We start from the raw sequence: 24,332 nt of genomic DNA, 5'->3' as shown, positions 1-24,332 counted from the left end.
CACTGACCAGAATTGCTGGTGGTGCATCATGTCCAGACACTTCCACAAGAATAGTGTCGTATTTGTCGAAGTTTATGCCTGTCTGATAATGTGCAAAGATGGAGTCCTCATCCTCAGGTGGAGGAGGGGGTATGTAGGTCACTTTTGGTCCTTGGAATTTAAATTAAAAACATAATGTACGTTACAGAGACTACAAGAAAATATAAGAGAAAATAGACAAAAATTGACAAGATCAAATTTTAAATACTATGGAACTTCCCACTGCTTACCTTTAAAGTTTTCACTGTTCAAATTTTTAAAAGATAACTTTGTTTTTAAGTAAAATACTTAAGCATTATTAAAACACAACATACTTCTATGTGAGTCACACAAATGTTAATATACCTTGAGTATCACTACTTTCTCCTCCTTCTGCTTCTGACTTCCAAGAATCTTGAAGAGGATCAAATAAAAAAGAGATACATGTTTTTTAAAATTGAAAGGTAAAAGAACTCTCACTATAAAAATCAAACACCTTGTTTAAGGAAAACTTACTCTTTCCAGAGCCTGTTATTACTTCTTCATTTAAACCTTTGTAACCACCTATTAAAGAAATTCATAAGTGACAATCGGTCAAGATGTAAGGCTGTGCACATCTTTATTTTCGTTGCTTGTCTTCAAAGAGAACAAGTTCCAAAAAACTTTAAATTCCCTTCTTACAAATACTTGAAACAATTAAATAGAACCTTGTACATTTTTAGTTTCTGTAGTATTCAAGATGATTTTACGTAGAGGAGACTATTACATATTACTACACTTTGTTTAAACTGTTATATTTCTTTCCTAATCAGCAAAGGAATGTATTTTCTAAAAGAACCTGTGTTGGAGGGGTGTCCCCAAGACCATTCCCAGTTCAGTAGTTGCTAGGAAGACTCACCAGACTCAGAATATAGTCATACTCATGGTTATGATTTATTAGTGAAAAAATAGGGAGTACTATCAGCAGAAGAAAAGGCACATAGGCAAAACCCAGAGAAAACCAGGCACCAGTTTCCAAGTGTCTTCTACTGCAGTCACACAGGATGTGCTTAGTTCTCCCAGCAATGAGCTGTGACAACACATGTAAACTCTACCAGAGAAGAGTATTAGAGACTCAGAAGCTCATTAGAGACTCAGTACCCAGGGTTTTTATTAGGGGCTAATAATGTACTCACCTTCTGCCTGGCACATACCAAATTCCAGATTCCCAGAAGGAAAGCAAATATTCAGCAAAAACCACAATGCACAAATGGTTTACACACAATGAGTTGCTCTTACCAATCAGGATGGTGGGAACCCGTCCCAAATCCAAGTTTTCAGATGCTAGCTGTGATGGTTAATTTGCGGTGTCAATTTGACCAGATTAAGGGATACCCAGGTAGCTGATAAACCATTATTTCTGGGTATGTCTGTGAAGGTGTTTTAGAATAGACTGGCATTTGTATCAGTGGACAGAGTAAGAAGATCGACCCTCATCCAATCTGGGCAGGCACCATCCAATAGGCTAGGGGCCAGACAGAACAAAAAGGCAGAGGAAAGGCAAATTTTCTCTCTCTTCTGGAGCTGGGACACCCTTCTTCTCTTGTCCTTGGACATCAGAACTCCAGGTTCTCTGGCCTTTGGACTCTAGGACTTGTACCAGCAATCCCCCGCCCCCTGACTCCGCCCCACCAAGAGGTTCTCAGGTCTTTGGCCTTGAACTGAGAGTTACACCATCAACTTCCCTGGTTCCATCATTCTCAGCAAACTATCACAAGGACAGAAAACCAAACACTGTATGTTCTCACTCATAAGTGGGAGATGAACAATAAGAACACATGGACACGAGGAGGGGAGTATCACATACCAGGGCCTGTTGGAAGGTGGGGGACAGGGGAAGGGATACCATTAGGAGAAATACCTAATGTAAATGATGAGTTGATGGGTGCAGCACACCAACATGGTACATGTATACCTATGTAACAAACTTGCACATTGTGCACATGTCCCCTAGAACTTAAAGTATTAAAAAAAAAAAAAAAACTTTACTGGTTCCTTTGGACTTGAATTGAACAATACTACTGGTTTCCCTGGTTCTTAGCTTGCAGACAGCCTATCATAGGACTTTCTCAGGCTCCATAATCTCACGAGCCAATTCCCCTAATTAGTTCCTTCTCATCCATCCATCCATTCATCCATCCATTCATCCATCCATCCATCCATCCATCCATCCATCCATCCATCCATCTCCTCCCTCCTTCCTTTTGGTCTGTCTTTGTGGAGAACCCTAACTAATATACACTAGCCAAGGAACAGCCTTTTAAGTAAGATTTTCAATTTCGTTTACTGATGAATTTTTGATGAACAATCAGGCCTGTTAACTCCTTTCTATATATTACCTTTCTGGTTTTTAGATAACGAGTAATCTGTTGTTCCACTTTTAGGTACTATGACTGCATTAGATTCAAAAGCTAATGAGATGTAACATTTTTTATATGTGAACTCTAATTTTCTTATCTTGTATGTCCACAGGTCTTGAAATCCTCCTTCATATAGGCTGTGAATATTTGTAGGAGATTTGGTTTAGCTAGTCTTTAATAAACTCTTTCTATATTGAAGAATCCAAGAATCAGCAGGGGTGGGGGAAATGTCACTCTGAATTCTCTCAGACTAATAATAATTACTGAGAATCTTCCAAATACATCGAGCAAGCTTCATTGATTTACTAGTCTGGAGAGCATTTTAACTTTTATATGACACTGAAGTATTTATACTTTGAAAAAACTTTAAGGTCAGGCGCAGTGGCTCATGCCTGTAATCCTAGCACTTTGGGAGGCTGAGGTGGGCAGATCACCTGAGGTCAGGAGTTTGAGACCAGCCTGGCAAAGGTGAAACCCCATCTCTACTAAAAATACAAAAATTAGCCAGGTGTGGTGGCAGGTGCCTGTAATCCAGCTGCTAGGGAGGCTGAGGCAGGAGAATGGCTTGAACTCTGGAGGCGATAGTTGCAGTGAGCCGAGATCACACCACTGCACTCCAACCTGGGTGACAGAGTGAGACTCTGTCTCAAAAAAAAAAAAAAAGAAAAGAAAAAACTTTAAGAGTAAAAAATTATATATTGAGCTAACTTTATCCTTCAGACCAAATCAACTATTCCATAAGAAAAAGCATATTGTTTTAATAAGGATTTGTACATATTATATCTGTCTTTAACTTCCACACAGCATCTCATTTCATGATTATTATTTTATTAAACAGTTTTTTTTTGTTTAACAAACAAAAAACTGGTGACAGTCTCGCTCTGTCACCAGGCTGGAGTGCAGTGGTATGATCTCGGCTTACTGCAACCTCCGCCTCCCGGATTCAAGCGATTCTCCTGCCTTAGCCTCCTGAGTAGCTGGCACTACAGGCACACACCACCATGCCCAGCTAAGTTTTGTTTTAGTAGAGACGGGGGTTTCACTATGTTGGCCGGGATGGTCTCATCTTGACCTTCTGATCTGCCTGCCTAGGCCTCCGAAAGTGCTAGAATTACAGGCATGAGCCACCGCACCCGGACTTAAACAGTTTTTTATTTATGAATTTTAGGTGATTTTCAGTTTTTACTTATTATAAATGACATCTCAGTGAACATCCTTGTACATTTATTTCCAAATACATCTATAGTATATAATTCCTATAATGGAATTGCTGGATCAGAGAGGCAATAACCTGGAGGGTATTAAGGAACTATCTAAAACAGGCTGTGTAAATTTATGGTCCTCACAGTGTATAAAAGCAATAACAGTTACCTTTAACTTCAAAAATTAAATTTGTTTCCAACCAGTGAAGTACAGAAAAAAATTAAATTTGGAATACAATGATTTTAACTTCTTTCGGGTAAACAAAATAAGAACTTACCTCGTTCACTTCCACTGCCACTTCTGCTTTGAGAAGTATCACCATTACCTGTAAGGCATTGTTTCACAACATATTTAGATAAAACACAGCTGCTGCTCAAGCACACAAACCATGTTGTTATTTCTATTCAACAAAGTTATTACTTAGGAATCCTGGTCCTTTAACCCATCCATCTCTTAATTTTAGATTTAACTTTTTTTTTTTTTTTTTCAAGTCTCACTCTATCACCAAGGCTGGAGTGCAGTGGCGTGATCTTGGCTCTCTGCAACCTCCATCTCCTGGGTTCAACCAATTCTCATGCCTCAGGCATCTGAGTAGCTGGGACTACAGGCACATACCACCACGCCCAGCTAATTTCTGTATTTTTAGTAGAGATAGGGTTTTGCCATGTTGGCCACGCTGGTGTCGAACTCCTGGCCTCAAGTGATCCACCTGCCTCAGCCTCCCAAACTGCTGGGATTACAGGCATGAGCCACCACGCCCGGCCTCTAGGTTTAACTTTAACCTTAACCTCATTTGAACATTTTTCATCAATTGTGTTTTCATTTTCACTTCAACTCACACAAATCCTTTTCCCCTAACTCAGAATCCTTTATTCCTCTAGTTAATAATTCACACCTCAAATTAACTGGTAGATAACACAGAATAAATAATTCACATTGCACAAATTTTATAAGGGAGACAAAATTGTCCACATATTTTTACCTACAGATCTAAAAGCAGAGAAAATCATAAGCCAAACTAGTATACTTTAACATATATATTAGGTTTACTAATCCTAGTGCTAAAAACATACATCAGTAACTAATATTCAGTAATAAGTTCTATTTCTCACCTGTGCCACTTAATACTGGTCTTCTAGAACCAAAAAGGCCACCAGTGCGCTGCATACATTCGTCTGGGTCTAAGTCATTATCTTGATTTGCAGAAAGTAAAATTAGATTACATTACTTTGAAGAAGTTTTTTAATCGTTCAGTAAACAGAAAAAAATCAAGTTATGGTATCAGAAGTTAAAAGATGCAGGGTAAAATAGAAAAATACTGTCCTATTAAACTAAGTTAAACTATTCTATTAAACTAAGTTAAACTATTCTATTAAACCAAGTTAAACTAAGTATTGTGCAAAGGAATTCTCTACAAATAATGTCCTTCAATGATAAATTACTTCCTCAAAATGTATTTAAAATATTTCGTTAAATAAATTAGGGCCAGTGCTATGCCAAAATATGATACAAGCAAGTTAAATCTCTAGAAATTGCCTGAGAAACTTCACATTGCATCATTTCACTACTTATTCTTCAAAATAGCACCCCTTGCTCCCACTGTTGCCAAATCAAACCTTACCAGTCCTGCATGGTAACCCTTCAAAATCCCTAAACTTCTGTGAAAGTGACAATTCACTAGTCTGCTACGCATCTATTAAATCATTATTACAAATTTATGTTTTTAGCTTCCAAAACCATAAATCTGTTCTCCTCTGTTAAGAGGCACATACATTCCAACAGTGACCTCTGAAGTCAGTACCTTATCTCTAAAAAATGATGGCTGGAAAAATTTAAGGTAGAAAGCCACACTGGTGAAAGAAGGTATGTGGGGAGGTAAAGCCACATAGAAGGTCACCTGTTTATAAGGTCAGCCATATTATCAAAGCTCTAAAACAATGAACAGTATGTAATATTAAAGTACTGAGTCACTCAAACTTATTTTTTAAATTCATATATTTTAACTTAACCAATATGCAATCAAATCTCTCTAAAAAATAATGTTATATACAATGTGGTGATTAATGTGTATTAGTCACTGAGCTAAGCTATTCTCATATAATCCTCATAACAACCTTCTTTGATACGTATTTTTTTAAATCATTTTCTTTTTAACAGTTAATGAAGCACATCATTTGCAAATCCAGTACTAACTTGGACTTCCTAGACCAAATCCTCCACGGCAACCTCGGAAACTACCTCTTCCACCTCTTCTGTATGGCCCTGAAGCTTCTGAATTATTTCCATCTCGATAGCCTATAATGTTAAAACACACACAAGAACAACACAAAACAACAACAAAGAAATCTTGGGGACATGGTCAAATTTAATTTAAGCCTTGAATAATTCAGTAACTTTAAACAAGTGTTTAAAGGCATTGTTGTCAAAAAGAAATGACATTTTGACCTATTAAGTGTTCAATTTTACTAATATAAATAGATATGGCTACAATTTTTTAAAACCTCACTGCTTGCTTTGAGAATCAAGTCTAAAAATCACCTAAAGGAAAAAGTAGCACTTGAATTAAAACACTAAAAGTCACCAAAACTGCACCATTAACTGGATTTCCACAATGCACAAAAGAATTAAATAAATCCTAGGCTTGTATCTGCTCCATATAGAATATAGTAAACATCTTACTCAAAGCACAGACATGCAGGCACATATAAAGTCTGATTTCCAGGTAAGAACAATTTTTAATTGAATTGAATACCAAAAGATTAGTAGAAGCAGTTCAAGTAAAATTTAATTGCACATAGAGCAGACTCATAGGGCAGACTCATAGGGCAGAACCAGATTAATGCAAAACCAAAGTGCCAACTGGGCAGGAAATAAAGACTGTTCCGTTTGTAAACTTGCAACTATTTATACTTAAAGAGAATGATGAATAAAGATAAATTCTATATATGCTATTTCTGAATATTAGAGTATATGTATTTTAAAACCTATTTAAAAATGAAACAAAACTCTTCAAAAAAATTGTATCTTCTGGAACCTTTTCTGTAAAGGTATATTTTCATGAAAGTAAAAGAACACATATGTAAGTTAAAAATATAATAAAATGAAAGCTTATCTCCACTGCCCAGATTAAGACTAAAATGTTTCCAACATATTTGCAGCCCATGTTTTTCTTTTGCCCTATGCTTCTCTTCTCCCTGAGCACTCCTTCCAACTAACATCCAACAAGCCAATATCCTGAATAGTTTTTCATTTCCTTGCTCTTAATTTTATCAACTATGTACTTAGCCTTAAGCAACATATTAGTGTTATGTTAGAGTTTTACGAACTAAATGGAACTTATCGTCTTCCACATCTTTTTTTTTTTTGAGGCGAAGTCTCACTCTGTCACCCAGGTTGGAGTGCAGTGGCATCATCTCGGCTCACTGCAACCTCTGCCTCCAGAGTCCAAGCGATTCTCCTGTCTCAGCCTCCCAAGTAGCTGAGATTACAGGCATGAACCAACATGCCCAGCTAATTTTTGTATTTTCAGTAGAGACGGGGTTTCACCATGTTGGCCAGGCTGGTCTGGAACTCCTGACCTCAGGTGATCTGCCCACCTTGGCCTCCCAAAGTGCTGGGATTACAGGCGTGAGCCACAGCGCCTGGCCCCACGTCTTTTTCCTTTTATTCAACTTTGTTGACATATGAAACTACCTCATTTTCTTTTACTGCTGAACACTCTATTGTATCTGTTTCTATTTCATTTATGTCTACTACCTTTTTTATTTGAGTTTTCTCCCTTCTAACTACTTGGCTTGAACACTTAACTCATTATTTTTTCTGAGAAAAGAAATATTTAAACTATTTTTAATCTAGTCTTCTTCCTACAAAGTTCTGTCCTACTAGATTTCCTCTATTAGCAAGTTTTACATTTTATCCTTTCTCTGATGCATTTAAGGCTATAAAATTTCCTCTAAGAGGCAGCTGCTTTAACTATATCCTCAAAGTTTTCATGTGCTCTGTTCTTACTGTTATTAAATTCTAAATATTTCAGGATTTCCATATGAACTGTTATTCATAAACTGAGAAATTCAGTTTCTAAATCATGAAGGTTAGACTTATTGATTTCTTTTATTTTAATAAGAGAACATGACCTATGATATATTTATCATAGGTCATCCTTAAAAGATGATCAAATTGTACATATTTTCCATACATGCTGGAAAAATATATGATTTATAATTTTAGAGTATATGATTCCAAACAAATATTAAATCAAGCTGAGTAAGTGGCATTCAGATCTTCTATATTCTTATTAATCTCTGTTCTGCTGTCTCAACTTACTAGGATTTGCGAATTTTTCCTTATGTCTATTTTCCTTTGTGCATCTTAGTATATTGTTAGATTAGAACCATGTTCAGAACTATAATGTCTTCCTGATGAATTTATCCTTAATAATTCTACCTTACAGTATACTTTGTCTCTATTTCTATTCAGCTTTGAGTTACTGAACACTTTTTTCTCTTTACTTTTAAGTTTCAGGGTACGTGTGCAGGATGTGCAGGTTTGTTACATAGGTAAACGTGTGCTATGGTAGTTTGCTGCACCTGTCAACCCATCACCTAGGTATTAAGCCCAGCATGCGTTAGCTCTTTTCCCTAATGCTCTCTTCCCCCACCTGCCCTCCCCCGACACCTACAGCACCTAGTATTCCTAGGCAGTCTCCCATCCAAGTACTAACCAGGTCCAACCCTGCTTAGCTTCCAAGATCAGACGAGATCGGACACGTTCAGGGTGGTATGGCCATAGCCTATTTTCTAATTTAAAAAAAAAATTTTTTTTTGTAGAGACAAGATTTAGTTGCTCAGGCTGGCCTTGAATTCCTGGCCTCAAGAGATCCCTCCCATGTTGGCCTGCCAAAATGCTAGGATTACAAGCATGAGCCACCATGCCTGACCTCTTTACTTTCAACTCCATATTGAAATATGCTTACCTATATTATGATTACTGATACATAGGTCTTTTATTTCTACAATCTTTGTGTTTTCTCTTTACAGAGTTTTTTCGATGCTTTTTGTTCTCCTTTCTGTCCTGTTTTCCCCAAATGGTAAAGCTATGTATTTTATTTTTACCAATTTTCACCACGAATATTTAGGAAATAAACTATTTTCAATCTACCTTCCTTCCTACAAAGCTCTGTCCTTCTATTGGATTTCCTCCATCAGCAAGTTACACATTTTATCTTATCCCTTCTCTGATTACCCTTCATTTTACTTATTAAGAAATATTTTTCCTTTCAACTGAGCTGGCAAGAATTTCAGTCTTTTCATTTGCTAGTATTTTAATTCACTTTTGTTTCTGGAACCCCTAAATTAATAGTCATTATTGCTAGTTTATATAGTCAATACTTATTTAAGTTTACCAATATGTTTACCTGTTTTACATATCTTTTTTTTCGCTCCTCATTGCTTCTTGTTTCCTATGCCTTTCTTCCTGCAATCAGTTGTCTTACTACTGTATACAATTTAGTAGTTCTTACTCAACAATATGAGAGTATTAAACACCATTTTTATCTGAATGGCATTATTTCTCCCTGGCACCTAATTATCTGAATATAGTTATTTGGATTCAGAGCTATTCTCCTTCAGCATTCTGAATATACTATGCTATTACATTCTGAAATCTACCTTTACTGAAGAAAATTCTGTTGTGAATATAATGTTCTTCTAAAGGTGAATCTACCTTTTTTCTCTAGTAGTTTTATAGGTTTTAAAAAATCTTTGTAATACTATAATTTCAATACATGCATAAGGGTATGAATTTTTTAATTTTATTTGCTGAGGACTCTTGTGCCTCTCTAACTCTGGAAAAGTCTCATCTATTCTCTTTGAATATTCTTCTTTCCTGTCCTCCTCCCATTTTCTGGCCACTCCTCAGGAGACAGTCATATGTTGAACCACAGGTCTTAGTCTATCTTCCATACCTTATTTATTAACCACTCTCGTGTTTTCCATTTCCAAGTTTAGAGAATTTCCACAGATTTATCTTTGAATTAATTCATTCTCTTCATCTGTGTTTAATCTTTACCTTTAATCACTCTGTTCTTTTCTGTAAGTTTCTAAAAATTCAAATTGAGTCCTTTTCTTGTTTTTTGTTTTTTGAGACAGAGTCTCGTTCGGTCACCCAGGCTGGAGTGCAGTGGCGCCATCTCAGCTCACTGCAACCTCCACCTCCTGGGTTCAAGTGATTCTCCTGCCTCAGACTCCAAGTAGCTGGGACTACAGGGCTGCACCACCACGCCCAGTTAATTTTTGTATTTTTAGTAGAGACGGGGTTTTAACATGTTGGCCAGGTTGGTCTCAAACTCCTGACCTTAGGTGATCCACCCACTTCGGCCTCCCAAAGTGCTGGGATTACAGGTGTGAGCCACTGCGCCCGGCCAACAAAATATATTTCTTAAAGTAACCTGAGTCCTCCCAGAAGGTATAGTCTGCATTTCATAAGGGACAGCTGACAATCTAACTCTTAAAGATGTTTGGTGACAATATCTTCAGAAAGAAATTACCTTATAAATCCTCTAACCTTTGTATAAAAGAAAATGGAACATCTTTTATTACTTTTTAAAAAAATACTTACCAGATAGTTATTATATTTCTACATACTAATGAATAAAATGAAAACACTAAAATGATATGTATCACTGATATCAGCAAAAATGGCCAAGTAAGGAACTCTAAATTCCACTACTCCAAAAAGGCAAGGAAAAAAATGGGCAAGAACTGTCAGAATTAACTTTTTCCAAACTCTAGAAATCAATAAAAGGCTTGAAGCAACCCAGGGAATTTTTTCTTTTAAACAGCAAATTTCGCAGCATTTTAACTTACCTAGTTCCATCTCCCGGCAACTCAACTTGTAAGTATATAACCAAAAGATTTGAAAACAGGGACTCAAACAGATAACTGTAGGTGAATGTTCATAGCGGACTTACAATAGTCGGAAAGAAGAAACAATCCAAGTGTCCGTCACATGGATAAACAAAATGTGGTAAATACATTATATTATTCAACCATTAAAAGAAATGTAGTTTTGATGCATGCTACAACATGGATGAACACTGAAAACAAGATGCTAAGTAAAATAAGCCAAATACGACAGGACAAATATTGTACGATTCCACTTGTATGAAATACCTAAAATAGACAAATTTCATAGAGAACATGGAATAGAGGTTACCAAAGACCAGGGTTAAGGGAGTACACAGGGAATTGTTGTCTAACGGAATACAAAGTTTCTATCTGGGTGATGATAGTGATGACAGAATACTGTGCACTTAATGCCAAAAATTATACACTTAAGAATAGTTAATATGGGAATTTTATGTTATAGAGATCTTACCACAAAAAAGCTCAAAATATCCCAAGTTTCATGAAAACTATTAATCTATAAATCCAAGAAGCTCAACTCCAAGGAGGGTAAACCCAAAAAGATCCACATCTAGACACATCAATATAAAACATCAACAAATGGTGCTAGAACAACTGGGTATCCATATGCAAAAGAATTTGGACCCCCACCCTACACCATCTATAAAAATGAATTCAAAATGCATCAAAGACTTAAGTGTAAGAACTAAAACTATAAAATTCTTAGAAGGAAACAAAGGAAAAAGTCTGCATGACTCTGGATTAGGCAACAGTTTTCTAGTTATAACACCAAAAGAACATAAAAAGATAAACTGGGTTTGATAAAAATGTTAAATTTTAGTGTTTCAAAGGGTACTATCAAGAAAGGGAAAAGACAACCCACAGGAGGTTATTAAACATTTGCAGGCCAGATGCAGTGGCTCACACCTGTAATCCGAGCACTTTGGAAGGCCAAGAAGGGAGAACTGCTTGAGCCCAGGAGTTTGAGACAAGCCTGGACAACACAGTGAGACCCCATCCCTACAAAAAATAAAGAAATTAGCTGGGCATGGTGGCACATGCCTATAGTCCCAGCTACTCAGGAGGCTGAGGTGGGAGGACTGCTTGAGACCAGGAAGTTGAAGCTGTCATGAACCATGACTGTGCCACTGCACCCCAGAGTCTGGGTGACAGAGCGAGACTCTGTCTCAAAAACAAAAAAAAAAAAATTAGATAAATTAAAAAAAAATAAACATTTGCAAATCAGGTAGCTGATGATACTCACATTGAGAATATATAAATAAATCTTAGAACATAAAAAGACAACCCAATTGTTAAAATGAGTGAAGGATCTGAAAGACATTTCTCCAAAGATATACAAATGGTCAATAAGCATATGAAAAGCTGCTCAACATCACAGTCATCAAAAAATGCAATCAAAACAACAATAAGGGCTGGGCACTGTGGCACACATGCTTGTAATCCCAGCACTTTGGGAGGCTGAGGCAGGCAGATTGCTTGAACTCAGGAGTTCAATATCAGCCTGCGCAATGTAGTGGAACCCCATCTCTAAAAAAATACAAAAATTAGCAGGGCATGGTAGTACACGCCTGTAGTCCCAGCTACACAGAGGGCTGAGGTGGAAGGATTATTTGAGCCTAGGAGGTTGAGGCTGCAGTGAGCCGAAATTGTGACAGAGCCCTCCAGCCTGGGTGAGAGTAAGACCCTGTCTCAAAAAAATAAAAAAACAAAAAACCCACAATGAGATACCACTTCATACTCAGTAGAATGGCTATAATTAAAAAAACACCAGTAATAACTAGTATCGGTGGATGTGGAGAAATCAGAACCCTCATAACATTGAGAGTGGTAATATAAAATGGTACAGCTACTATAGAAAATAATTTGGCAGTTCCTCAAAAAGTTAAACATTAAGAGTTAGCACATGACACAGCAATTCCACTCCTAAGTATATACTCCAGAAAAATGAAAACACAGGTTCACATAAAAACTTGTACACAAATGAATACGGCAGCATTAGCCATGATAGCCCAAAAGTGGAAACAACTCAAACATTCATCAGCTGAAGAATAAACAAATGTGATGTAACCACACAACAGTAGAGCCCTCATGAATGGAATTAGTGTTCTTATAAAAGAAGCCCCAGAGAGCTGCCTGGCCTTATCCACCATGTGAGGACACAGAGAGAAGACACCATCTATGAACCAGGAAATGGGCCCTCACCAGACACTGAATCTGCTGGTGCCTTGATCTCAGACTTCTGACTCTCCAGAACTGTGAGAAATAAATTTCTGTTGTTTACAAAGCTACCCAGTTTATAGCATTTTGTTATAGCAATGCAAATTAAGATAGCTTTTTCTTCTGGAAATTGATTAAGCTCATTCTAAAAATCACACAGGAATGCAAAGGACTAAAAATAACAGGCAATCTTGAGGTTTTTCATTTGTTTTGTGTTGTTATAAAGGAATACCTGAGACTGGATAATTAATGAAAAAAAAGGTTTATTTGGCTCAAGATTTGATATCTGAAAATGTTCAAGACTGGGCATCTGGGAAGAGCCTCAGGCTGCTTCCACCCATGGCTGAAGGTGAAAGGGAGCTGGTGTGTTCAGAGATCATATGATGCAGAGGAAGTAGAGGGTACCAGGCCCTTTTAACAACTAGCTGTCAAGGGAACTAGTAGGCAACTCACTCAACAGCCCCACAAGGAAACAGGTCTATTCATGAGAGATCTGCGCCCCCATGACCCAAATACCTCCCATTAGACCCTACCTCCAACTCTGGGAATCAAATTTCAACATGAGAAGGACAAACATCCAAACCATAGCACTTGAAAAACAAGCACTTGAAAGACTTACAATGCCAGATATCAGGACCTATTATGAAACCACAGTAATTAGATTATGGGGCAATGGTACAAAAATAGAAAAACTGACCAACGGAATAAAACCTAGAGAAACAGATACACATATATAAGCCACCTAATTTAGGACAAAGGCAGCCCTGTAGTGCAAAGCAGAAGGGACAGTCTTTTCAGTAAGTGATACTAGGTCAACTGAACATCTATATGGAAAAAAAATGTATATTGATTCCCACATTATATACAAAAATAAACTCCAGATTAATGACAATTACTTTTTTTTGTTTTAGACGGAGTCTCTCTCTGTCGCCCAGGCTGGAGTGCAGTGGCGCAATCTCAGCTCACTGCAACCTCTGCCTCCCAGGTTCAAGCGATTCTTCTGCCTCAGCCTGCCGAGTAGGTGGGACTACAGGCATGCGCCCAGCTAATTTTTGTATTTTTAGTACAGACGGGGTTTCACCATATTGGCCAGGCTGGTCTCGAACTCCTGACCTTAAGTGATCTGCCCGCCTCCCAAAGTGCTGGCATTACAGGCATAAGCCACCGCGTCCGGCCTATCTGTATGTACTATTCTTGCAACTTTTAAGTTTTAAATCATTTACAAATAAAAAGGTAAAAGTAAAGATACTCAACAGAAAAATGGGCAAACGACTTGACAAAAGATGTCCAGATGTCCAAATGGCCAATAAACATAAGAAGTGCTCCACATTCCATTAGTCCAAAAAAATAGAAATTTAATACAAAATGAGTACACCACCACACAACCAGCAGAATGGTTAAAAGGAGAGAAAAAGAAAATACCAAGCATTGGTTAGAATGTGAGTGTATCTTAGTTTAAACGCTGAAAACATTTGACAATACTATTAAAGCCAAAAATATATATAGCCTATGACCTAGCAATTCTTCTTCTGAGTATGTACTAATGACAACCAAAAGAATACTAGAATGTTTACAGAAGCACTTTCACAATGGCCCCAAACTGGAGGTAATCCAAATACCTATCACTAATAGAAAAACAGTAAAACAAAAGAATACTAAACAGTAATAATGATCTACAATTGCAACAAACACACTAAGAAGGTAAACATAAAACACTACATACTATATGATTCCATTTATACCAAGTATAAAAATAGACGAAATTATCGTATGCTGTTAGAAGTCATAACAGAAGTTTTGGGGGTAATGAGTCATTAGTGAGTAAAAAATGAACATGAAAAGGGGCTTTTGAGGTGCCAGTAATTTGTATTTCATGACCTGAATGCTGGTGAACACACTGAACTCAAGTGAGTTCAGTTTGTGAAACATAATTGAACTATACACTTATGGTATGTGTACCTGTCTACATATTTTAATATAAACATATATACACACGTGTATTTTCTGAGTGACCCCTATATGCAAACTTCCTATCCTCAAATGTATACATCTACAGAGAATGGAAATCAGGGATACCCTGCAAAATGGCTGTGCCCCTGCTAATTATCCTACACTAATCTGTAAGTCAGGACCAAGCACATAGAGCTGCAAATGGTTTCGACTGCCTCATTTAAATATGAATTAAATTGATTTAAAGTAAATGTTAATAGTACAAAAGATATTCACTGGTCTGAAGAAAAAAATTTCAAATATGAGCTATGTTTTAGGAACATTAAGTGCCAAAAATTGCTTGTTAAAAAAAATATGGTAAAAGATGAGTCTTGTTTTTTCTTAGCTTAACTTTCTCCCCACCACCACCCCTCTCCACAATTATCATAAGAAGTAATTAAGGAGACAGTCTTCCCTCATTATGAAATCCACAAGTCCTACCTTCACTAGGGAGGGCCTAATTCAGCCAGCTACCTACCTAATGGGCAAAGGAAAAGAATGTCTCCAAGGTGCGGTAAAAACACTGATGTATCTGATTACTATGTAGTTCCAAACAATAAAACCTCTTATCATAGATTTGCACATCCTCAGCAATTTTATAGTAAGTTCACTATATTCTTCATACGTTTTGTTGTCATTGCTATTTTAACATGACTGCCCATATATAATCAAGAATTAAGCATGGTAATTTTTGATACAATCTCATCTCAAATTCAATAGAAGCTGAATTACCAGAGTATGGTGAAATACAGCTAGACTTGAACAAAAAATAATCTACAATTTCTTCCCCCCTCAAATTTCCAATGACTCTATTCAGAGACAAAGACATCCCCAGTTCATCTAAATTGCAACTGACCAAGATTCACATTGTCCCTCTTCTGTAATTGATAGCACATTCTGGAGATCATAGGGGGGAAAAAAAAACCACAACCAACAGATCCAGTGACATTAGAAAGTAAAACAAGGACAGGCACAGTGGCTCATGCCGGTAATCCCAGCACTTTGGGAGGCTGAGGTGACAGCTCCTGAGGGTCAGGAGTTCCAGACCAGCCTGGCCAACATAGTGAAACTCCATCTCTACTAAAAATACAAAACTTAGCCAGGCATGCTGGCACATGCCTGTAGTCCCAGCTACTAGAGAGGGTAAAGGCACAAGAATCACTTGAACCTGGGAGGTGGAGGTTGCAGTGAGCCAAGATCACACCACTGCACTCCAGCCTGGGTGACAGAGTGAGACTCCATCTCAAAAAAAAAAAAAAAGTAAAAGAAGGCATTATTTTTGTGCTCTCTATTCTGTTCCACTGGTCTAGGTATCTGGTTTTGGACCAGTACCACGCTGTTTTGGTTATTACAGCCTTGTAGTATAGTTTGAACTCAGGTAATGTGACGCTTTCCAGCTTTGTTCTTTGTGCTTGGGATTGTCTTGCCTATTCATGCTCTTTTTTGGTTCCATATGAATTTTAAAATTGTTTTTTTCTAATTCTGTGAAGAATGTTATTGGTAGATTGGATCTGTAAATAGCTTTGGGCAGTATGGCCATTTTAACAATATAGTGGATAGGAATGCCACTGATTTTTGTACATTGATTTTGTATCCTGAAATTCTGCTGAAGTAATTTATCAGATCAAGGAACTTTGGGGCAGAGATTATAGGGTTTTCTAGGTATAAAATCATACCATCTGCAAATAGGAATTCCACACACCTACAACCATCTGATTTTTGCCAGGGTTGACAACAACAAGCAATAAGGAAAGGATTCCTTATTCAATAAATGGCGCTAGGATAACTGGCTAGCCATATGCAGAAGATTGAAACTGGACCCCTTCCTTAGACCGCATACAAAAATCAACTCCAGACGGATTAAAGAATAACATGTAAAACCTAAAACTATAAAAACCCTGGAGATAACCTACAAAATACCATTCTAGACACAGGCCCTGGAAGATTCTGTGATGAAGATGCCAAAAGCCACCGCAACAGAAACAAAAATTGACAAATGGGACCTAATTAAATGAACAAGCTTCTGCACAACGAAAGAAACTATCAGCAGAGTAAACAGACAACCTACAGAATGGGAGAAAATATTTGCAAACTATGCATCCGACGAAGGCCTAATATCCAGAATCTATAAGGAAATTAAATGTACAAGCAGAAAAACAAACAACTCCGTTAAAAAGTGGACAATGGACATGGGCACGTTTCAAAAGACAATATACAGCCAACAGGCAGATGAAAAAATGCTCAGCATCACTAATCGTTAGAGAAATGCAAATCAAAACCACAATGAGATACCATCTCACACCAGTCAGAATGGTTATTATTAAAAAATCAAAAAATAACAGATGCTGGCAAGCTTGCAGAGAAAAGGGAATGCCTATACACTGCTGGTGGGAGTGTAAATTAGTTCAGCCATTGTGGAAAACAGTGTGGCGATTTCTCAAAGAACGTAAAACAGAACTACCATTCGATCCAGCAATCCCATAATTAGGTATATACCCAAAGGAATATAAATAATTCTACCATAAAGTCACATGTACACATATGTTCACCACAGCACTATTCACAATAGCAAAAACACAGAAATCAACCTAAATGCCCACCAACAGTAGACTGGACAAAGGTAATGTGGTATATATGCGCCATGGAATACTAGGCAGCCATAAAAAAGAATGACATAAAGTCCTTTGCAGGAACATGAATGGAGCTCCATTATTCTAAGCAAACTAATGCAGGAACAGAAAGCCAAATACTGAATGTTCTCACTTATAAGTGGGAGCTAAACACTGAGAACACATGGACACAAAGAAGGGAACAACAGACACTGGGGCCTACTTTAGGGTAGAAAGTGGGAGGAGGTACAGGATCAAAAAACTACCTATCAGGGACTATGCTTATTATCTGGGTGACAAAATAATCTGTACACCAAAACCCCATGGCATGCAATTTACCTAGATAACAAACCTACACATGAACCCCTGAACCAAAAACTTAAAAAAATAAAATAAAAGAGTGAAAGGAGGGGCACCCACTGAATACTCACTCAAATATTAAAAGCAGAAAACATATACCAAAGTATTTTTCTTCAAAGGTTTTCACGATCAGTGTTTTTCATCCAGCTCCTTCAAAATCAGTTTTACCAGTTTAGTGTCTCTGTGTTAAGTACAAATTGTTCCAAAATGTGGTCCTTACCGCCTCTCTTGGAAAACCCTCTGTTCCGTGTTGGATTATCTTCGCAGTCATTACTAGACTCTTCAATAAAAATTTAACATGTAAATAGCATTTAATTAACTTAAATGATGCAATATATAAAGAATAGCACTGTCACAAGATAAATTAGTAAGAAGACAAAATATTTTCATAAGTTAAAATATAAACATATTTCTTCAAATAATTTTAACAGATATATAAAGACATTACTCAGAGTCGATTCCCTATACAAATCATCTCATGTATCTAAATATTAAATGTTTATTATATGAAATTGAGAACCTACTATTTGCCAAGCATTATACTACGCAAAGCAAAACAAAACAAAAAATAAGAATTTCATAAATTTCAGTTTGACCAAAAATGATTTCAGGAACATCTAAGCTATTAAGTAATCAAGTGGTTCTCACATAAGGTCCATAGACCACTAGACTCTTCTATTTATAATGTCATATCTTTTCTGTAATTTACTTTATTTTTGGAGATGGAGTCAAGCTGTATTGCCCAGGCTGGAGTGCACTGGCACAACCTCTGCTCACTGCAACCTCCGCCTCCCGGGTTCAAGCGATTATCCCCACCTCAGCCTACCGAGTAGCTGGGATTACAGGCATGCGCCACCATGCCTGGCTAATTTTTGTATTTTTAGGAGAGATGCGGTTTTGCCATGTTGGCCAGGCTGGTCTTGAATTCCTGAACCTCAGGTGATTCGCCCACCTTGGCCTCCCAAAGTGCTGGGATTACAGGCGTGAGCCACTACACCCGGCCAATTTACCATTCTTAATAAACTCAAGACATTTGTGCTTTCTTAAATATATGCAAACTTTCCCCCATTCATGCTAATGAAATAATTTGGGGATATCCTAGCTTCTCCATTTTTGATATTAGTAAGTAACATTCCCAGAGTTTTAAAATAGTAGTATGAGAGATTACTATACTGAAGGCTGCCTGAAAACTACCTGGAGAGTTGGTTAAAAATAAATTCCTAGACCCCATTCCCAGAAATGTTTATTCTGAAAGGAATGATTTTTCGAAATGTAAAAGTTCTATGTTATTACTATGACATCAGGCTTTCCAGAAGATTCCAAAAAAAGTCACATTTGGGAATACAAAGATGGTTTCAAGGGATCTTTGTACATATCATTAATATTTAATATCTGGGAACATTAAGTCAAAATAATGACAGCAAGTGACCAAACAGCTTGCAGGTTATTAGCTAAGTTCCTGTGTGAAAGTCCCAATCCATTTAACAACTAATAATGTTCTACAATAAACAGTGACCCAAAGCTCTTGTTGCAGTCTCCTATTTCAGCTGCAGCTGACAACTGACAAACAATCCTGAAGAGCCATTAACAAGACAACTTTCTGGAAGGCAGGACTTAATACAATGTAGAAGGGCAGGAAAGAAATAAGTTTTGAAAAGTTGGCCCTGGAATAACAATGATGATAACTAATATTTACTGCTTTCGAGAAAAAAAAAAAAAAAACAAAACTACTAATCTGGGACCTGGCAAGGGAAAGAGTCTCACAATATCTTTGGCCAATTATTTCCCTAAAATAAACCTACAGTTATTTTGATCACAGTGGGAATAAAAATAGAAAACATTAAGAGAAGTTGGGTGATGGGTACATGAAAAACCTCTGTACTATTTTTGCAACTTCTTATGAATAAAACTATTTCAAAATAAAAAATTACTTTAAAAAATAAGTGATCTCTATACAGTTAGGAAATAAAGCTAAGCACAAACAAAAATGAGATAATGATACCAAGATTAGTTACAACCTATTAATTATACAAAAATAACATATGGCCTGGCGCAGTGGCTCATGCCTGTAATCCTAGCACTGTGGGAGGCCGAGGCAGGCAGATCGTGAGGTCAGGAGTTTGAGACCAGCCTGGCCAACGTGACGAAACCCCGTCTCTACTAAAAATACAAAAAAAAAAAAAAAAAAATTAGTCGGGCGTGATGGCGGGCCCCTGTAATCCCAGCTACTCAGGAGGCTGAGGCAGGAGAATCACTTGAACCCTGGACGCAGAGGTTGCAGTGAGCCAAGACTGTACCACTGCACTCCAGGCCAGGTGACAGTGCGAGACTCCGTCTCGAAAAATAATAATAACAACACATAAAGTATGTACCTGGCCGTGTTCTAAATGTATCACATGTATTAACTTTAGTCTAAAGTTTCACAAAAACCTTGTGAAGTAGATATAGTCATCATTATACAAATAGAGAAAATGAAAAGCAGAAAGTTACAGGCTTTTTCAAGATAATACAATTGCCAGGAGGAGGATCTGAGTCTCACACCTACGTGTTCAAATCCAGTATCTGAGTTCCTTATCACTACAATATACCAGCTTAAGCAAAGTAGATGACAGGGGAAAAAAATTTAAAAACATACTATCCATTTGTGTCCAGAGTAAAAAGCTTCTACCGTGAGCTCAGAACTTGGGCTTGCTAACAACTGAGACAATGAATGAATTCAATCCATATATATATATATATATATATATTTTTTTTTTTTTTTTTTTAGGGGAACTAAAAACGAAAAAAGAAGAAAGTAGATCAAAACAAAGCAAGCAGGCCACTTCGGAGAGAAGTTCTCTCAAGTGCCATGAGAAACTGGAATTTGTATTCAAAAGCTCCCTGGCCCACCATCTCTACAAAGGGGTCAAGTAGGTAGAAAGGTCTGTGTATAAGTAGAAATGATCTTGAATATTAAATGAGTTAAAAGAGATCAGAACAGAAACACATAGAAATGGAAAAGAATAAAAATGATGGTATTTTTCTTCTCTCACAAATACTAGTTCTACATCATATATGTTTTCATTTGAACGGGATAGGAGAAAAAAAGAGAAGTAGGGAGAAAGAGACTGGCAATAGTTTGGAGAAACAGTCTCATTTGATAATTAAAATCCGGCCTTATACCAAAAGTGTTTTAAGGTGATCAGGTCTAGGCTTGGTTTTGACTTTGGGAATCAAAGTGTTTAATAAGATCAGCTTCAAATATTTAATGAAGATAGATGGATGACATCTGAGTGTTTGTCATGAATGTGTCTGGTATTCAGCTGTGTGCTTTTACACGCATTCTCACTTAGCCTGCCTAACCACCTATAAAATGAATACCTTCCATTCTATGGAACAGAAAACTGGCTTAGAAAAATTAAGCAACTTGTTCTACTTCAACTAGCAGGTAGCAAGGCAGAGACATGAAGCCAAGTTTGGCACCCTAAAGTGTTCTATGTTATAAAGATTTCATACATCAATGATTACCAAACACAGGAGGTATCAGGATCACCATGGATGCTTTTAAATACAGGTTCTAAGACCTCACCCAAATCGACTCAATCAGATTTGGGAATGCACTGGTTTATCGTAGTCCATCTTCTGGTATCATTATTTTCATCATTCTCATCATTCTCTGTATTCCTGTAGAGTGTCAGTACCTTCAATGGAATTGTCTTTAATTTCAGCACTGATTTACATTCTCATGAAACTTTTTCTTAGATTTATTTGAATCTAAATGTGACCCTATACATCACAAACTGTATTTATATAGAGAGTGAAGTTTCACTTCTTGACTACTTCTTTTTATTATCTATCCCCATTTTCTTAAGTTTCAGAGCATTCAAAAGTTGTACCTCATGGATTAAGGCAGATGGCAACAGGCCAAATTAGGATGCCTGAATTCTTTATGTACAAAGCAGTAATATCCTTGGTTAAGGCTTTGGATATAGCTACTTCATAAAATCTGGTTTAAATAAGTTAGAATTGGCCCGGACTAAGAGACTTAATCTTAATTTCTCTTTTTTAGCATGTACTCTTGACATTAAATTTTAAAACACAAAAATATCAACCTTACCTCTCCAGAAACCAGAGCTATCACCATCTTCAAACCTGCTGTTTGAAAAACCTATACAAAATATAAAATGAAACAATTTCCTGTACCTCTGTGGTAAAAATGATAACCACACAGGAACTACTAGTTATGATGCCTTCTAAGATAAGCGATACACAATTGTATACATAGCTATCACATGCAAATTCACTCAGGCTGTACAACAATTTCTGCTTTGTGTCAGTTTATCAACTCCATTCTCTTAAGGTTAAAAACAACTTTCTTTTCAGCCAATTCTGTATTACCTCAATTGTCATATACTCCTCTGTATGCACATGGGCAAAACAGAGGAATATGTCAGTGTAACCACTATATGTTTTCTATTTAAAACCATCAAAATTCTCAAAATTTTACAAACTCAATCTCTTCATCTGCTAAGGACAATACAACTAAATTATAACCCAATAACTCAATGATTTTCTCCTCAATAACATGAAAATCTTGTTAGCTTCTTTTTGTTTACTCTTTTTTAAAAAGTCGTCAAGTTTTGCTTTCAAACTTATTTCCTAAAAACCTATGTCTAAGAGTTATGCATCTCTGAAGCATACAGACATGTCTCTAGAATTAATTTTAAAAGCATTCATCAGTAATCTTTCATAAAATTAAAAAATGTTTTTAATAAGTTTTAATAAGATAATCTTTAGTGCAAAGGCACTCACAGAATATATACCTTGAAATTAAATGTCAATATGGAATGTCTGTCAATCAGTATTTAAACTCAATTATTAAAAAATCACTCAAGTTTTGATTGTAAGATATCATAACCAAGTAATTACCTCTGTTTCCAAAACTCTTTCCAACTCCAAAACCACCCATTGTGGATGTATTATCTCGCTTATTACACTCACCAGCATCTGAAAAAGGGTGGACAGTTAAACTCTTTAACATATAAAATTAAGTGTGTCATCATCAAAAACTAAGAATTAAATGAATTTCTGGCGTAAAGAGACTTCCAAGGATGGGAAAAGAGTAGCACAGAAACCTAAAATTAATTAATATACCTGCAACTTAAAAGAAAAACTCTTAAATTATGATACCAAGGTAAAAACAAATCTACTACCGGTGAAACACAGCTTTCTACTAGTTGGTATTATATTGGAGACCTTCAAGCAGGAAAATTCTGCTCCATAGTTTTCTATATGTTGAATTCTCATCCTGATAGAGCCAGCTATTACGCTCTGCCCTGTGTGAAAGTCACTGCTATTGAAAATCTTACACTCGTGTCCTGTTTAACTGTTCTATTTTTTATTTTTCTATTTCTTATATTTATCATATCCTTTCCATTTTTAAAATTAAAACAAGGGGCTACATAAGGGAAAAACCTAAGACTACCACTCCCCTCCTGGCCTCCCCATCTCGCCATACTATTTCCCCATACTAACCTTCTTAGCTTTGTTTCTCACTATGTAATTCTAAACACCCAACATTTTAATTCACACCAAACAACTCCAATACTCCACACTGTCAACTGCTAATATTTTGTATCTTTGTACATGCTATTCCTTTGGCATGGCATTCCCTACTTTCTTATTTGTCTTATCAAAATTCACTTCATTCTTCAAAAAACCAATTATGTGAAGTCTTCCTTTAGCCCTCCAGTCATAATTTATCCTTCTTCCACATTCCCACAGCATACTATCTGTACCTTTTTAAAGTAGTATTTCTTTCCATGTGTTTCTCTACCACTAAATTAAAAATCTCGAGAGCAGAGATGTGATAGCAAGAACGATTATTTAAAATAAAACATTAAAAAAAGAACAGGAGAGACATCCAAAACAGCATAAAATGATGCTTTAAACTATCACTGAGAAAAAAATTAAAGCATTCCCTGTGATCCCTATATACTGTCTTACTTACCTCTGTAAAACCCTTGTAGAGGGGAGTTAAAAGGGATCTGTGTAACTCCTGAAACCACCTGTAAAATTGTGTATGCCCAACTATAAAAGTATTTTAATCAGATTTCAAAGATGTGTGATTCAAGAAGTCCAAGCTACTCAGACATACTTCACAGGACATAACAAGCTAGTCGATATTTTAAGCAATGAAGAGTCAACTTCAAAAACCACATTATTAGTTATGCAAGTTCTACTGAGAAGAAAATCAAGATTGAAACTATACAGTCCAGGCGTGGTGGCTCACGTCTATAATCCCAGCACACTGGGAGGCCGAGGCAGGTGGATCACCTGAGGTCAGGAGTTCAAGACTAGCCTGGCCAACATGGTGAAACCCTGTCTCTACTACTAATAAAAAACAATTAGCTGGGCGTGGTGGCGCACACCTGTAATCTCAGCTACTCGGAAGGCTGAGGCAGGAGAATCACTTGAACCTGGGAGGTGAAGGTTGCAGTAAGCCGAGATTGTGCCATTGTACTCCAGCCTAGGCAACAAGAGCAAAACTGTCTCAAAAAAGAAAAAGAAAAAAAAAAGGAAACTATATAAAATGTTAGAAGAATCATATGGAAAATAAGTTATACTCATGGGTC

The 24,332-nt window shown here is 36.8% G+C and overlaps 1 protein-coding gene and 1 pseudogene across 7 annotated transcripts in view; both read right to left on the bottom strand.

The window, feature by feature from the left end:
- Positions 1 to 24,332, bottom strand: part of DDX4 (DEAD-box helicase 4) — a 79,097-nt gene that overhangs the window by 31,279 nt on the left and 23,486 nt on the right. For 2 of the 7 annotated variants that reach the window (XM_024446119.2, NM_024415.3), the window contains exons 5-13: positions 22,627 to 22,704; positions 21,815 to 21,865; positions 17,939 to 17,998; positions 5,814 to 5,915; positions 4,733 to 4,813; positions 3,898 to 3,945; positions 535 to 582; positions 385 to 432; positions 8 to 150 (exon numbers count right to left, since the gene is read on the bottom strand). In XM_024446119.2, coding sequence (XP_024301887.1) covers positions 8 to 150; positions 385 to 432; positions 535 to 582; positions 3,898 to 3,945; positions 4,733 to 4,813; positions 5,814 to 5,915; positions 17,939 to 17,998; positions 21,815 to 21,865; positions 22,627 to 22,704 — 659 coding nt within the window. Of the gene's footprint in view, positions 1 to 7; positions 151 to 384; positions 433 to 534; positions 583 to 3,897; positions 3,946 to 4,732; positions 4,814 to 5,813; positions 5,916 to 17,938; positions 17,999 to 18,912; positions 18,995 to 21,814; positions 21,866 to 22,626; positions 22,705 to 24,332 lie in introns of those variants that run through there. The other 5 variants (NM_001142549.2, NM_001166533.2, XM_011543495.3 and 2 more) reach the window with 5 other exon arrangements.
- Positions 8,292 to 8,410, bottom strand: RNA5SP183 (RNA, 5S ribosomal pseudogene 183; annotated as a pseudogene).

This window comes from Homo sapiens, chromosome 5 (genome assembly GCF_000001405.40).
Source record: "Homo sapiens chromosome 5, GRCh38.p14 Primary Assembly".
NCBI lineage: Eukaryota > Metazoa > Chordata > Mammalia > Primates > Hominidae > Homo > Homo sapiens.
The sequence above is the reverse complement of the archived record's forward strand: the minus strand, read 5'-3'. Positions and strand labels throughout refer to the sequence as shown.